Source organism: Homo sapiens, chromosome 3, assembly GCF_000001405.40.
Source record: "Homo sapiens chromosome 3, GRCh38.p14 Primary Assembly".
NCBI classification, from domain to species: domain Eukaryota; kingdom Metazoa; phylum Chordata; class Mammalia; order Primates; family Hominidae; genus Homo; species Homo sapiens.
In genome coordinates, this window is record NC_000003.12 from 178991693 (window position 1) to 179006611 (window position 14919).

Consider the following 14919-nt stretch of genomic DNA (forward strand, 5'->3'; position numbering starts at 1 on the left):
CTGACTACCTACCAGTTGTGTGATCTTGGGCAAATTACTCGACCTCTCTGTACCTCACTTTTCTAATATGTGAAATTAGGGTAATGATAATAATACAAACCTCACAGGGTCCTTGTGAGAAAGAAAGGTTAACATTTACTAAATATTTTGAAAGCACCCAGAATAATGCCTGGCACATAATAGGTATAGGTCAGTGTTTGATATCATTATTCTAATCTCAGAAAATGAAGAATTCTTTTCTGTAGGTAAGCTCCTACACTTGCACCCCTGATGCCATTACCATCATCTCCAACAAGTGCTGGCTCTATCAGTGTCTTTTCCTCTAACTGCAATCTCTCACTCTCTTCTAGTTCCCTCTCTTTACCTTTCAAGGTGTGCAGGTGTGGAAGAATTAGGGAAGGGCTTACAGAGGAAGGTCAACTAAAACTATTCCCAGACCAAACTGAGGGTCAGGCTGCTTTTTCTCATGGCCCAATAATGAGATGCAGATGAACTGGCAAAGGAGGGAGTTTATTTCGGAAACTGGGTACAGGGAGAAGGCCTGGAAAATATCACCTGACCAACAAACTTACAAAGTTTTCCAGAGCTTATATGCCTTCTAAGCTATATGTCTACTTGTAAGTGTGCATTCATCTAAAGACATAAGTAATTAACTTTTTAAAATCTATAATTAAGGTCTGAGTCCTGAACACCTTCCTCTGGAGCATCAGTAAATTTACTTAATCTAAGTGGGTCCAGGTGCTGGGGTATTACCCTTATCTTGTATCCTGCTAAATCATGGAGGTTTGGAAGTTCCTTCAGACCCCAATAAACTTGTTTGTGGAGGCCTGGGGAGTTTCTTCAGATCCCCGGGGAGTTTTTTCAGATCCCCAGTAAAACTTATTTAATTCTAAATGGGTCCTGTTAAGAACTCATTTGTTATCTTGTCAGGCTTCAAGGCCCAGGAAAAGCCTAGGCAAAACTCTTGGTGGGCTTTTGTTACATTCCAGCCTTTGTATAGGGCACTGCCTCTTTCAGCTTTTAATATTTAACTTAACCACTCGGTCAGTACTGAAACAGTTGTTATGGAGGCCTGCCTATGCAACCTTTAGGGAGACCTGGCCTGCCATAAAACCAGCCTTGAAGACTGAATAGGATTTTGCTTGATAGAAAAAGAGGTAGCCTGGAATCAGTGGGTAGTTGAGGGGATGGGATTTCAGGCAAGAGAAACAGCACTAGCAAATAGCTTTGATATTGCATGGAATATTTGAGGAGTTGCTCAGGGTAATAGTTGCATAGAAGACCTGGGACTAGTTCCTAAATGTGAGTCTCTAAGGCAGGTCACAACCTCAAATGCCTATAGGGTCATGAAGGTAAACTGACTGAGTCAAGTAAGCTGGTTAAGAAAACAGGGAAGGGATGGGTTCCCACCTAAAAGCAAAGGCTTCAACAGGGGCTTAACTGCAGGCAGTTTATTTTAGGAAGTGTTCCCAAGAAATTCGAGTGAGGGACTGAAAAGAGCAAAAAGGAGAAGAGGAGAAAGCCAGTCCAAGGGTGAATGTGGATCAGGTTACTGCTGTGGAAAACTGAAGCTCTATTCCAAGGGGTACTCTGAGAAGCTATGTAGGATATTCCTTGGAAACATCCATCTGAGACATAAGAGTGGGGAGTATTTATCAGCTGTTATCAACTGACTCTTCATCCTTATTACCCAGGGGTTAGCCCATAGGGTATTAATTTCTCACACTTCTCAGTTTGCATGTTCATCGGAAAGGCTGGTGAATTCCTACGTGCAACCCACCCTGAAGTAGCAGAGGAAGCTCTAGGGGAAAAAGCAATATTTACAAAGTGAAACAGCAGCTCAATTAAGAAAGTAGCCCTAGGGGAGTCCAATACGGGAAGGACTGTTGCAAAGCGGAAGAGAGCTCATGCCCCTTCCGAAGAGTGTAGCCACAACTTATTTCACCTGACCTATACAGAATGTTGGCCAACACGACCAGAAATCCAAATTTATTTATTAAATCCCTTGACCTTAATCTCTTGGTGATAAATTCTAATTTTTTTAAAACAACTGTAGGGCTAGGCAAAACATATCTGCCAGCCAAATTGAGACCTAGGCTGCTGGTTTGTGACCTCTGCCAATAGAATTTAAAGTTTAGGCAATGAGAAACCAATAGAAGTTTTTAAGCAAAACAATGTCATGACTGGATTTTACTTGGAAGTACTCCCCCTTTTCAAGTTTGTCCACCTTCAAATGCTTTGCTTTTACTCTTTAGCCCATCGGTCCATGAAATCCAAAGGTGGCAATCACATGCAGTAGGACAGTTATGAGGTAGCAGACAAATCTCTCTTCAAATCCAGCATAGCCAGAGTTTTCCTAACTGGTAGTGACTTTGCAAAGTCCTTGAGCCCAAAGACGAATTTCCTGTTTTCCTCCTCAATTACCAAGTGATAAAATGATGACCATATGCAAACAAACATTAAGCTCTCATTCTCTTTCCATGGTCCACTAAGAAAGACTTGGTAGGAGGGCATATTGAAGAAATGTACAATGGCATTAGACAACAGTCAGTCTGAGAGTGTCCATCTGCCAAACAGAATGGATATTTCCTGCAGCTCTTCCTAATAGCTTGAACCCAGTGGCTGGATGCTGTCCTCCCAGCTTTCTGAGAGAATTCCTACTGAACCAAATTCATCAGTCTTCCTGCACTGGTAGAGGAAGGAAAGGGAGAAGGAACAGCATCTCACTCAGCAAATGAAAATCCCTCAGGCTACTGACTAAAGAAGCCACTAGCTCTAGAAGAAAAGGAATCCAAGTGCAAAAATAAGGCACATTCCTCACCCCCAGGAAAGGCCTCGTCCTTACAATGTTATCCATCGAAAACAGGAGATACATAGATGTTACTGCTTGCCTTTTAAAAATATAATTCTGATACAGCAGTGAACTCTTCAACTTTGGTAATTTGTTTCAATCCTCTGCAGTGTATTTTTAAGCTGTATCCTGAGTGAATAAATTCATAGCTAGGATAACAAATGGAAGAGTTTAGCAAATCTGGGAGAGAGGTGAGAAAATACAGTTACATAAGAAGCACTATAATTGATATTAAAAGCATAGGGTTTAAAATTATTCAACAACAACAAAAAAAACTATATATGTAGAAATACATAGAAAAAGATTTGAAAGGATACACATTATATCAATAATGGTATTTACCTCTGGGAAGGGGAAAGCAGGATTAGGGAAATAGGGAGTTAAAAGAGACTTTTCCCTTTCAAAAGTGTTTATTTGATGGTGAAGATGTATGTATGTTTACTTATGTGATTAGATATGAATTTAAGTAATGAAAAAAACGAACTTTCAGTTTTGAAGTTTCCATTTTGATGTTTGAAATCCAGTTGTGATTTAACTGCTCTGTTCTACAATTTCTGTGCAAAGATGTAGAATGACTGGAGAGATTAATAATTGCTCAGAGACTCCACTGAAAGATCAGGAATTTTCCCAGTGTTGATCACAATGACGTTGTAGTGTTGGGCAGAAAAGCTCCAACCACTGAATCAACACAATCCTGAGTTCTCTTCCTTTGTGTACTGAGAGTCTGTGCCATATCCAGGTGAGTGGGTGGCAGCTTTTCCTATGGCGGGGTCCAGACTGGATGCTGAAAGCAGACTGCTGCATATTCTCACTCAACATCAAGCAAAGGAATCTTACCTTCCTTCAGTGTCTTATTATTTCTTATGACTAATATATTCTTCTGACTTTCTGATAAACTGCACCATTTCATTGAAAATCTCAATGTCTTCTTAAGTGGAAAGGAAATTTTCCCACAAAAATTAAGTTAGATAATGTTAGTAAAGTGCTTATTAGATCACCTGATATATAGCTAGGGGCTTGCTAGTGTTTGTTCAGCTAAGAACTAATTATACTTAAAATAGGACAAAGCGCTTTGATAAGTTACTGGAAGTTCCACCTACCTACCTGCTCTAGCCCCTTATGGGTAAAACTGTTCTTTTTAGAGAGGCATCCCAATAAAAACCATGCACCACACACACTGCAGCCATAGTAATTTCAGTCCAGTGCTTATGGCTACATATTAGAATCATCTAAAGAGCTTTTAAAAATCCCTAGAGGCCAGGCACGGTGGCTCACGCCTGTAATCCCAGCACTTTGGGAGGCTAAGGCGGGTGGATCACGAAGTCAGGAGATCGAGACCAGCCTGCTAACATGGTGAAACCCTGTCTCTACTAAAAATACAAAAAATTAGCCGGGCATGGTGTCAGGCACCTGTAGTCCCAGATACTCGGGAGGCTGGGGCAGGAGAATCACTTGAACCTGGGAGGCAGAGGTTGCAGTGAGCCAAGATCACGCCACTGCACTCCAGCCTGGGTGACAGAGTGAGACTCCGTCTCAAAAAATAAAAAAATAAAAAATAATGATAATAAATAAATAAATAATCCCTGGAGACCCAGGCACATCCTAGAGTAATTAAGTCAGAATCTCTGAAGGTATTCCCTGGCACAAGTTGTTTTGTCTTATTTTGGTTTTGAACTTTTCAGGTAATTCCAATTTACTACTAAATTTGAGAACAACTGCTCAAACTTTAATAAGCCTATGGTTCACCTGGGGATCTTGAATAAATATAAGTTCTATTTCTGTAAGGTCTTGAGTGGGTCCTAGGATGCTGCATTTCTAACAAGCTCCAAGGTGATGTAACAAAGACTTACTCTCATGCAAATGTCTATGGAGATTATGTATCAAAACATTCATTGCAGTGTGGTTTGCAATAAGAAAATATTGAAAACCACCTAAATGTCAATGGACAGAGGATGAATTGTGGCATATTCAGACAATGAAACTCTATATAGCATTTTAAATAAATTACAGCTTCCTGTATCATCATACATAAATCTCATAAACAATGTGCTGAGCAAGGTGTCAGAGCCCCAGGAACAGAAAGTGGTTGACTTGTGGGTTGGTAAGAAGAATTTACCAATAACAGTATAGGTTTGAAAAGGAAAGTTTTATTACATAGAAAGTACACTGCAGAAGAGCACAGCTGGGCACCTCAATGAGAGAGGACTGAGCGCACCACCGTGGATTTTTCCTTAGTAGGATTTATGGGCCTTAAAGCAGGAGACTAAGGGTAATTCGGATCATATTACCCAGGTAGCTCATGACAAATGATTACAATTTTGGGCATTTTGGTGCCTTACTGTCAGCAAGCATTGCTCAATGAGTTTCTTTATGCATGCATTCTGGAGATGTACAGAAATTCTAGTTACTTATAAATTTTTGGAAAAGAAACCTGGAACCAGATGCTTGCTCTAGATAATAGGGAAGTCTAATTACTTCTGAATTCCTGAGATCAGGAGTTTTGCCTCTGGCTGATCTGCTTCAGGGCCACCAGGTGATCTTTGTTCTTCTCACAATGTTGAGTATGGAGATCTCATTTATATTAATTTTGAAAGCATAAGCAACAATACTGTGTATTGTTTATAGATACCTATGGTATTAATACTGATATAAGCAGGAGACAGGAAATACCAGGGAGAAGATAGCAGTTCCCTGGCAAAGACCCCATCTTCAAGCCTGGATACCCATGGCCCTAAATGGGAACAGGCATTCCTGTTTTCACACCCAAAAAGTTGCCTTTTGGCCTCCCATGACCCCTATCCTGTACCCATATAAACCCTGAACCCAAGGCTCCAGAAGGAGATCAACAGACGAGCAGACAAACAGCAGAACAGCATGACAGAGAAGGAGAGAAGAGAAGGACCATTTGAACACCAACAGGAGTTTGACTGGGGATAATCAGAGAGGGGATCAGCCACTGGATGGCCAACCTCCAGGGGAAAATCATCCTCCCACTTCATCCCCCTTCCAGCTCCCCATCCATCCCACTGAGAGCCACCTCCACCACTCAATAAAACCCCTACATTCACTCTTCAAGTCCGTGTGTGATCCGATTCTTCCAGGATGCTCAGAATACGGAAAGCTGTCACATTGGCCCTCTGCCTTTGCAAAAAGGCAGAGGGTCCTCTGAGCTGGTTAACACTTAAGCCATCTACAGACAGCAAGGCTAAAAGGGCACACTGTAACACATGCCCACTTGGGCTTTGGGAGTCACAGACACCCACCCCTAGATGCTGCCGTGGGGTTGGAGCCCAAAAGGACTCACCCCAGTTCCTGTGCCTACCATCTGTATGCTTCCCCTCCCATAAGTGGTTTGAGCTCATGGTGGCAGAACAGAGAGCCATGCTTCTGCTGCACATCCTGTGAGGGGGCCCAGGGAACTCTCCCATTTCAATATAACAATATACATGGAAATAATAAACAGCAAACTCAAGATTGTGGGCTTATCTGGGAAGGTAGACAGGAGATTGATATTGGAGAGGGGTGTAAAATGGGCCTCAGCTAAATCTGTAATGTTTTGTTTATTTTAAAAATAGAATATGGTAAATGTAGAATAAAATATGGCAGAATCTTCAGATTTGATAGTGCTGGGGAGCTCAGTAGTGATATATGTATGTTGATTTCTTATCCTCAATAATACTTTTAAAGAAAATCAAGAATATTTCACATCAAAGTATACTTATTTGACATATTTTGAGATGACTATTCAGAGGGCCTGCAAACACAAGAATCAGCCTGCAAAGCTGTCTTTTGTGGAAGAGATCTGCATCTGTAGAAGAAATAAAGTGAAGTAAACAATAGATTGAAACAGGCTTTTTCTGAAGCCCCCATTGCCCAGATCTGGGAAAAATTAACTGAGAGCCAGATACCTTTAAAGGTTTTATAGAAACATCTACCACAGGCTCCCATCTCTTCTTCCTGAAGGCTGCTACCTGTGAGATCATCTGCACAACAAGACCACCTTTGCAGCACGCCTTGCCTCTTCTCTCCTTCCCGTAATCTCTCATGCCACCATAACCTGTCCTGACGAGCTTCAAGCCCCTATTCTTTCCATATTCTCGAGATAGTATAAAAGCACCAACCATCTGGCCATTTCTTTGAGTTTCTCACACTTTGTATAACTTCCATCTGATATGCACATTAATAAATTTGTATGTCCTTTTTCCCCTGTTAATCTGTCCATTATCAGTTTGTTTTATAGACTCAAATTAGTAAAATTTCATGGGAAATTTTTCAACTTCCCTGCAGTCTTGGTGTTGTCAGCAGGATAACAAATCACTCTGTTCTGGAGCCTATGGATGAGATTTTGGAGCAACTGATCAAAGCCAGCAAAGAAAGGTAAGAAATTTTTTCCCGAGTCACTTTTATCAGATCTCTGCCTATGGCACTCAGGTCAAATGAGGGAAGTAAGAATCTGTCTTGTTCCCTTTCCAAGCTGGATTAACAGGAAAAAAACGTATCCAAACTAGTTCACTTATGGAATAAATAAATTGGCTATACTTAAAATAAACATTTTTTAAAACTTTCATCTTAAACAGCTATCTTATCAGTACCTATGAAAATATACAAAAGGAATATAGCCTTAGAAACTCCCTTGGCAAGAGTTAAAAAAAAAAAAAAGGAAAGCAGAAATCAGATTTAAACTCAAAATCTTTTCTATATTCAAACTGCCTGCTTTGGATCCCCTGTAAGATTTGCAAAGAAGGGCACTCCACCTAGTAGTCTATTAGTTAAGATTCTACACTTCCACCACTTCAGCCTAGGTCTGATTCCCATCAGGGAACCAGTGTCTTGGTGATGTAAGTCCTTCAACTCAGGAGGAAAAAAAGAGAGAGAGAAACATTTATTAGGAAATTTATTTGGGCCAGGCACAGTGGCTCACACCTGTAATACCTGCCCCTTGTGAGGCCAAGAGGGGAAGATTGCTTGAGGAGTTCAAGACCAGACTGGGCAGAACATAGCAAGACCTCCCCTCAAAAAAAAAAAAAAACACACACACAAAACACGAAACAAACAGGCATGGTGGCTTGCACCTGTAGTCCTACAGCTACTCAGAAGGCTGAGGCAGGAGGATCCCCTGAGCCCAGGAGTTCAAGGATACAGTGAGCTATGATTGTGCCACTGCACTCAACCTGGGCAATAGAGAAAGACCCTGTTTCTAAAAGTAAATAAATAAAAATTGGTGTAATATGTGTGTGATTCTTGACTTTAAGGGGATTCCATTTATTTATTTATTTATTTATTTATTTATTTATTTGAGATGGAATCTCACTCTGTCACTCTGAGTATGGATTACAATGGCGTGATCTTGCCTCACTGCAACCTCTGCCTCCTGGGTTCAAGTGATTCTCCTGCCTCAGCCTCCTGAATACCTGGGATTACAGGCGCGTGCCATCACACCTGGCTAATTTTTGTATTTTTAGTAGAGACAGGGTTTCATCATGTTGGTCAGGCTGGGCTCGATCTCCAGACCTCGTGATCCGCCCACCCTGGCTTCCCAGATCCTTTTCCCTTCCATGGACAACTTCTGGCCTGTCTTATTGATATTTTGTCTCTTTTAATCCTCCATCTATGGGGTATACAATTGTATGTACAATGTGTATGCTGATGGTCAGCTGAGAAGCTGACATGCTAGAGAATATTGCTGGACAGAAATGCAGATTGTACCCTACTTGTAGCTACTAACACTTTCCTTTCTTTGACCTTTCTTTGGGGTGGTTTTGAGAAGGTTGCAAGGACTGCTTTGTGCCTCTTAGAAGATGCCTCATGAGTCTTTGGTTAAGTCATAAAAGGCTTATTGGTTTTGGCTCTGAGTCACTTGGAAAATACCTTTGGTTTAAAAATCTGATAGTAAGAGATTTGAAAAGATTTTTTAAGAGCTCTGTAGGCAAAAGTCAGCTTAATAAAAAGCTGATATTCAGGCTATATATATATATTTAATGGTCCATCTGCTTTTTTTCTTTTGGATCTTGTTTCTCCCTAGAAGTTTTTCCGTTGAATGAAATCTGTTGTAAAAAAGTTATATGTTCCATCCCTTTGTTCACTTTCTTTCTTGTTGGTATAATTTTTGCTGAGAAAAAAAAATGTAAAACTTAATTGGTTTTTGGAAGGTTTAAAATCTTTCCAAATGGTTGCTCTAAGACTTGCTTTCCCATTTACTTCTACTCCTTCCTTTTTTGTGACATTCAATACCACATGAAGAGATCTAGAGGGGACTTCTGGTGGCCCTGAGACTGCTTGAAGAACACAGAAAGAAGCAGCACATACCCCTTTGTTAGTGAAATGAGAGAGTTCCCTGACCCCCTCGCAGGACATGTGACAGGGGTGTGGCTTGTCTATTCGGTTGCTGCTGCTGCTCAAACCCCTTATGGGATGGGGAGCATGTAGATGGACAGGTGCAGAAGCTGGAGCACTGGGCTTCAGCCTCACAGCAGCGTCCAGGAGTGGGAGTCTGTGACTCCCAGATCCCAAGTTGGCATGTGTTACAGTCCACTCTTTTAGCCTTGCCATCCACAGACAGCTTAATTGTTAACCAGTGGACCCTCTGCCTTTTTACAACGGCAGAGGGCCAGTGTGACAGCTTTCTGTATCCCGACAAGAGTCCAGCATCCCAGAAGAAGTGGGACACACATGGACTTGAAGGATGGTGAATTTGGGGTTTTATTGGGTGGTGGAGGTGGCTCTCAGCAGGATAGATGGGGAACTGGAAAGTGTATGGAGTGGGAAGGTGATCTTCCCCTAGAATTGGGCCATCCAGCAGCCAATTCTCCGACCATCCCCAGCTGAACTCCTCCTGACATTCCTTCTCTTCTCTCCTTCTCTGCCGCTCTTCTGCTCTTCTGTTCGTCTGCTTATCTCCTGCTGGATTCAGGGGTTTGGGGTTTATATGAGTATAGAATACGGGGTGTGGTGGGCGAAAAGACAACTTTTTGGACATGAAAACAGGTATGCCTGTTCCCATTTAGGGCAGCAGGTATCCAGGCTTGAGGATGGGGCCTTTGCAGGGCAACTGCCCTCTTCTACCCAGTATTTCCTCGTCTCCTGTCCATATCATTAGGGTCTTCTGTATTCCTCATGGAACCCCAAGAGTCCTGGGCAGGCTGCTCTCAGGTCTAAAGCTCAGCTCCGTTTTGCATTGAGTTTCCCAATCTCCTTGGCTTTTAGGAATACCAGGGGTTACTTTTTACTGTGAAAGAACACTTAACCTTTGGGTGTTGGATGGCTGATAGGTCACTGCAGTTTTAGAGGTGGCTGACAGTTGTTCAGTGAATGGTTATTACTGAAGTGAGGCTAATTGTTTGAGTATTTAGATAAGAAAAGCACAGTTTGGACACTTGGAGGCTGTAGGAACACTTGCTATCAAGGTATAAAATTCCCATGGGGGATAGGCTGGTCACGGAGTGGGCTAATTGGCATTAGGTTTCCCAACAGCCTCAAAGAAAATGTCCTTGCAATGAGGTCCACTGTAGAATTGTTGCACAGCCTAGCCCCATGACATTTCCCTCTTGGCCTTTTGCCTCAGCTCTGGGGCACCTGGGATTCAGTGTAAAAATGGGATCCTTGGTTTCTGGGGATCTAGGTGCTCTGCCTTCCAGCTAAGCCTGCTTTCTACATATAAAGTACTGGGCCCTGAAAACTACAAAAGCCTTGTAAGCCCTATTCACTGCCCTGAGCTCCATGGTACAGTAAAAACACAGAAACTAAATTGGAAGTTACGAATCTAACTAAAATTGGTCTCCTTATAAAGTATGTGATGAATTCCTATGATTTTGTGTTATCTTGATATCTATTTTTAAACTTCTTCTGTGTCTGTAATGCACACCCAAACTTTTTCTTGAAAAAGCTTAAATTCTCTTTTGTTTGACAGTAAATTTGCTACCCTGTTTCCTTTAAACTTAGTAGGGACTTAAACCATGTGGCATAGATAAATTTTAACTTGTTACATTTACAGAGGCACAGTTTAATCCAACAGTACTTTTAAACTAGGGAGTTTTACCTGTCTCACGGCAAAATTTGAAAATCAAATCTATAAAATCTGTGTTTGTCTGCATTTTTATGTATACATTTGTACATTTTTGTGTTTATATATAGTCTACATGGTACAAAATTGACATAAATGATCCCTCATAAATTCAGTAAATAAGTCCAAATGATTTTCAAGTTCACATGACTAGCAATCTTAGATAAATACAGCTAGTTTTTAAATTGTTGGTATAATAAAATAGAAATGTCTTCAGAATTTTAAGCATTTTTGCATGGTTCTACCGGTCAAACCAATTTATACTGTCTCTACTACATGTTTTAAAGTCATAAAACTTTTGCTTCTGTGATTTTTTGACTTTATTTTTTGTATTTGTACAAATTTATGGGGTACATGAGAAATTTTGTTATATGTATATATTAGCAATCAAGTCAGGGTATTTAGAGTATCCACCACCTGAGTATGATACCCTTTTGCTAATACAGTCATCCTACTCTGCTATCAGACATTATAGAATAGATTATATATATATATAAAATATATCTTACTGTATGTTTGTACCCTTTAGCCCACTTCTCTCTATCCTCTCCAGTTTCCCTCTCCCTACCATTCCCTTCTCCCTACCACTTCCCTCTCCCTACCATTCACTCTTCCCAGCCTCTGTTATGTGTTTTTGTACTATACCTCCATGTATTCAAATTGCTTAGCTCCCACATTTTGGTAATTATTTGTCAGTGTGCTAAAGCTATGTGGGCTGGTTTCTGGGCTCCCCCAAATCCTTGCATGCAACTTCCTGTGAGTTTATGTCCTTGATTTTGAGCCTTTAGATTCTGGAGTCTAGACAGGTGGCCATGGTGAGGCCTGGGGAAATATGTGTGTCACCAATGTCTGGGCTACAGAACAGAGCTAAGCCCACTATGGCCCCATCTTTCCTGGCCAAGCTTGGTCTCCTGGGCAAGTTGGGAAATGTTGAATCCTTCAGGCATTGTTATCACAGCTCTGTCCTCTGTCCTGGGCTCTCCATCTGGTACACAACAATGGAAATTTCTAACTTTCTTGGTTTTTCACTGGAAATGAGGGTTACTCATTAGTAGTAGTTAAAATTATAGTTAATATATATAATTTAAAATATTAGATATAAAGAAAACTATATATATACACAGATATAAAGAAAACAATATACAGATATAAAGAAAAAATATACAAGATAGGATGTGTTTTTGGCAGGGAAGTTTATAAATGAGACATAAAGATGTAGTTTTTGTTCATGGAAATGCAATTTTGTCTAGTTTAGAGGTTATTTAAAGGTTATTTCACATTGAAGGAATAAAAGAAGAATGATATAGATAAAACAGAATGAGGATAGGAGGCAGAGTAAGATGGCAGAATAGAAGGCTTCAATGATCGTCCCCCCGACAGGGACACCAATTTAACAACTATCTACACACCAAAAAGCATCTTCATAAGAACCAAAAATCAGGTGAGCATTCAAAGTACCTGGTTTTAACTTCATATCACTGAAAGAGGCACCGAAGGGTAGAAAAAACAGTCTTGAGTTGCTGACACAAAATCCCTCCATCCCCCAGCAGTGGCAGCGCAGTGCAGAGAGCATTTCTGTATCCTGGGGAAAGGAAGAGCACAGCGATTATGAGGCATTGAACTCAGTGCTGCCTTTCTTACAGTTGAAAGGAAAACTGGACCAAACTCAGCCAACATCCACCCACAGAGGGAGCATTTAGAACAGCCCTAGCCAGAGAGGTATCGCTGATCCCAGTGGTTGGAACTTGAGTTCCCACAAGCCTCACCACCATGGGCTAAAGTGCTCAGATCTAAATAAACTAGAAAGGCAGTCTAGCCACAAGGACTGCAACTCATAGGAGAGTCCTACTGCTGAGCAGGGCCCAGAGACAGTGGACTATGGGAGTATGTGACCTACTGAAACACCTACTAGGGCAACTAAGTCAGTGCTGGCATCACCTCTCCCCTAAACCCAGGTTGAACAGCTCAAGGCTCCAAAAGAGATCTCTTCCTTCCACTTGAGAGGAGAGGGAAGAGTGGGGAGGACTTTGTCTTGCATCTTGAATACCAGCTCAGCTACAGCAGGAAAGGGCACCAGTCAAGATCGTGAGATCCCCATTCCAGCCCTAGCTCCCAGATGACATTTCTAGACACATCCTAGGCCAGAGGGGAATCTGCTGTCTTGAAGGAAAGGACCCAGACCTGGCAGCATACATCACCTGCTAACTGAAGAGCCCTTGGGTCCTAAACAACCAGCAGTATTACCCACATATTATGTTGAGGGCCTTGGGTAAGCCTCTGAGACTTACTGGCATCAGGTGAGACTCAGAACATTCCCACATCTGATGGCTACAGGGCAAAACTCCATCTGCTTGAGGAAGCAGAGGGAAAAGTAAAGAGTACTTTGTCTTACACCTTAGGTACCAGCTCAGCCAAAGCCGGGTAGACCACCAAATAGGCTCTTGGGATCCCCATTCCAGGACTTGGCTCTTGGATGGCATTTCTGGACCTGCCCTGGGCCAGAGGGGAGGTCACCACCCTGAAGGGTGAGTCCCAGGCCAGGAAGCATTCACCACAAGCTGACTAAAGAGCCACTGGGTCTTGAGGGAACATTGGCAGTAGTCTGGCAAAACTCCCCATGGGCCTTTGGTGGCAGTGGCCACAGAGCGAGACTTCTCTGCCTTTGAAAACGGGAGGGAAGAGTGTTAAGGACTGTGTCTTGTAGTTTGAATGCCAGGTCAGCTGCAGTACAATAGAACAGCAGGTAGACATCTAAGGTTTTTGACCTCTAATCCCTGGCTCCTGGATGGCACCTCTGGACCCACCTGGGGCCTGGGGAACTCACCACCCTGAGAAGAAGACACAGGCCTGGCTGGCTTTGCCATTTGCTGATTGTTGAGCCCCAGGGCCTTGAGTGAACATAGGCAGCGGCCAGGGAGTGATTATAGCAGGCTTTGGGTGAGACCCAGTGCTGTGCTGGCTTCAGGTCTGACCCAGTATGGTCATAGTGGTGGTAGCCACAACGGTGATTTTGTCACTCCACCACCAACTTTAGGTGGCTCAGAACAGAGAGAAAGAGAAAGACTCCATTTGTTTGGGAGAAAGTAAGGGAAGAGTACAAGAGTCTCTGCTTTATAATACAGAGAATTCTCCCAGATCTTGTCCAAGACCATCAAGGCGGTACCTCTATAAGTCTGTAAGAATCACAATGCTACTGGGCTTGGGGTGCCCTCTAAATCAGGTACAGCTTAGATAATAACATCCAAGTCATTTCAAATACCTGAATGCCTTCATAAGAAGGATGGGTACAAACAAGCCCAGACTGAAAAGACTATAATTAATACCTAAGTCTTCAATGCCCAGACCCAGACAAACATCTGCAAGTATCAACACCATCCAGGAAAACATGACCTCACCAAATGAACTAAATAAGGCACCAAGGACCAATCCTGGAGAAACAGAGATATGTGACCTTTCGGAAAGAGAATTCAAAATAGCTGTTTTGAGGAAACTCAGCAAAATTCAAGATAACACAGAGAAGGAATTCAGAGTTTTTTCAGATAAATTTAACAGAGATTGAAATAATTTATAAAAATTAAGCAGAAACCTTACAGTTGAAAATGCAATTGACATACTGAAGAATGCATCAGAGTCTTTTAATAGCAGAATTAATCAATCAGAAGAAAGAATTGGTGAGTCTGAAGACAGGCCATTTGAATATACACCTTCAGAAGAGACTAAAGAATAAAACACAATGAAGAATACCTACAGGATACAGAAAGTAGCCTCAAAACAGCAAATCTAAGAGTTGTTGGCCTTAAAGAAGAGGTAGAGAAATAAATGGGGTAGAAAGTTTATTCAAAGGGATAAAAACATAGAACTTCCCAAACCTAGAGAAAGACATCAATATCCCAGTACAAGGAGGTTCTCAAACACCAAGATTTAATCCAAAGAAGACTACTTCAAGGCATTTAATAATCAAATTCTCAAAGGTCAAGGATAAAAAAAAAGATCCTAAAAGCAGCAAAAG

At 41.7% G+C, this 14919-nt stretch overlaps 1 long non-coding RNA gene across 3 annotated transcripts in view; it reads right to left on the reverse strand.

The window, feature by feature from the left end:
* The window catches only part of LOC124906307 (uncharacterized), a 97668-nt gene extending 83327 nt beyond the window's left edge, over positions 1 to 14341 (reverse strand). For all 3 annotated transcript variants that reach the window (XR_007096179.1, XR_007096177.1, XR_007096178.1), the window contains exon 1: positions 12369 to 14341. This is a non-coding gene — a long non-coding RNA (uncharacterized LOC124906307). The remainder of the gene's footprint in view (positions 1 to 12368) is intronic.
* Positions 14342 to 14919: the final 578 nt, after the last annotated feature.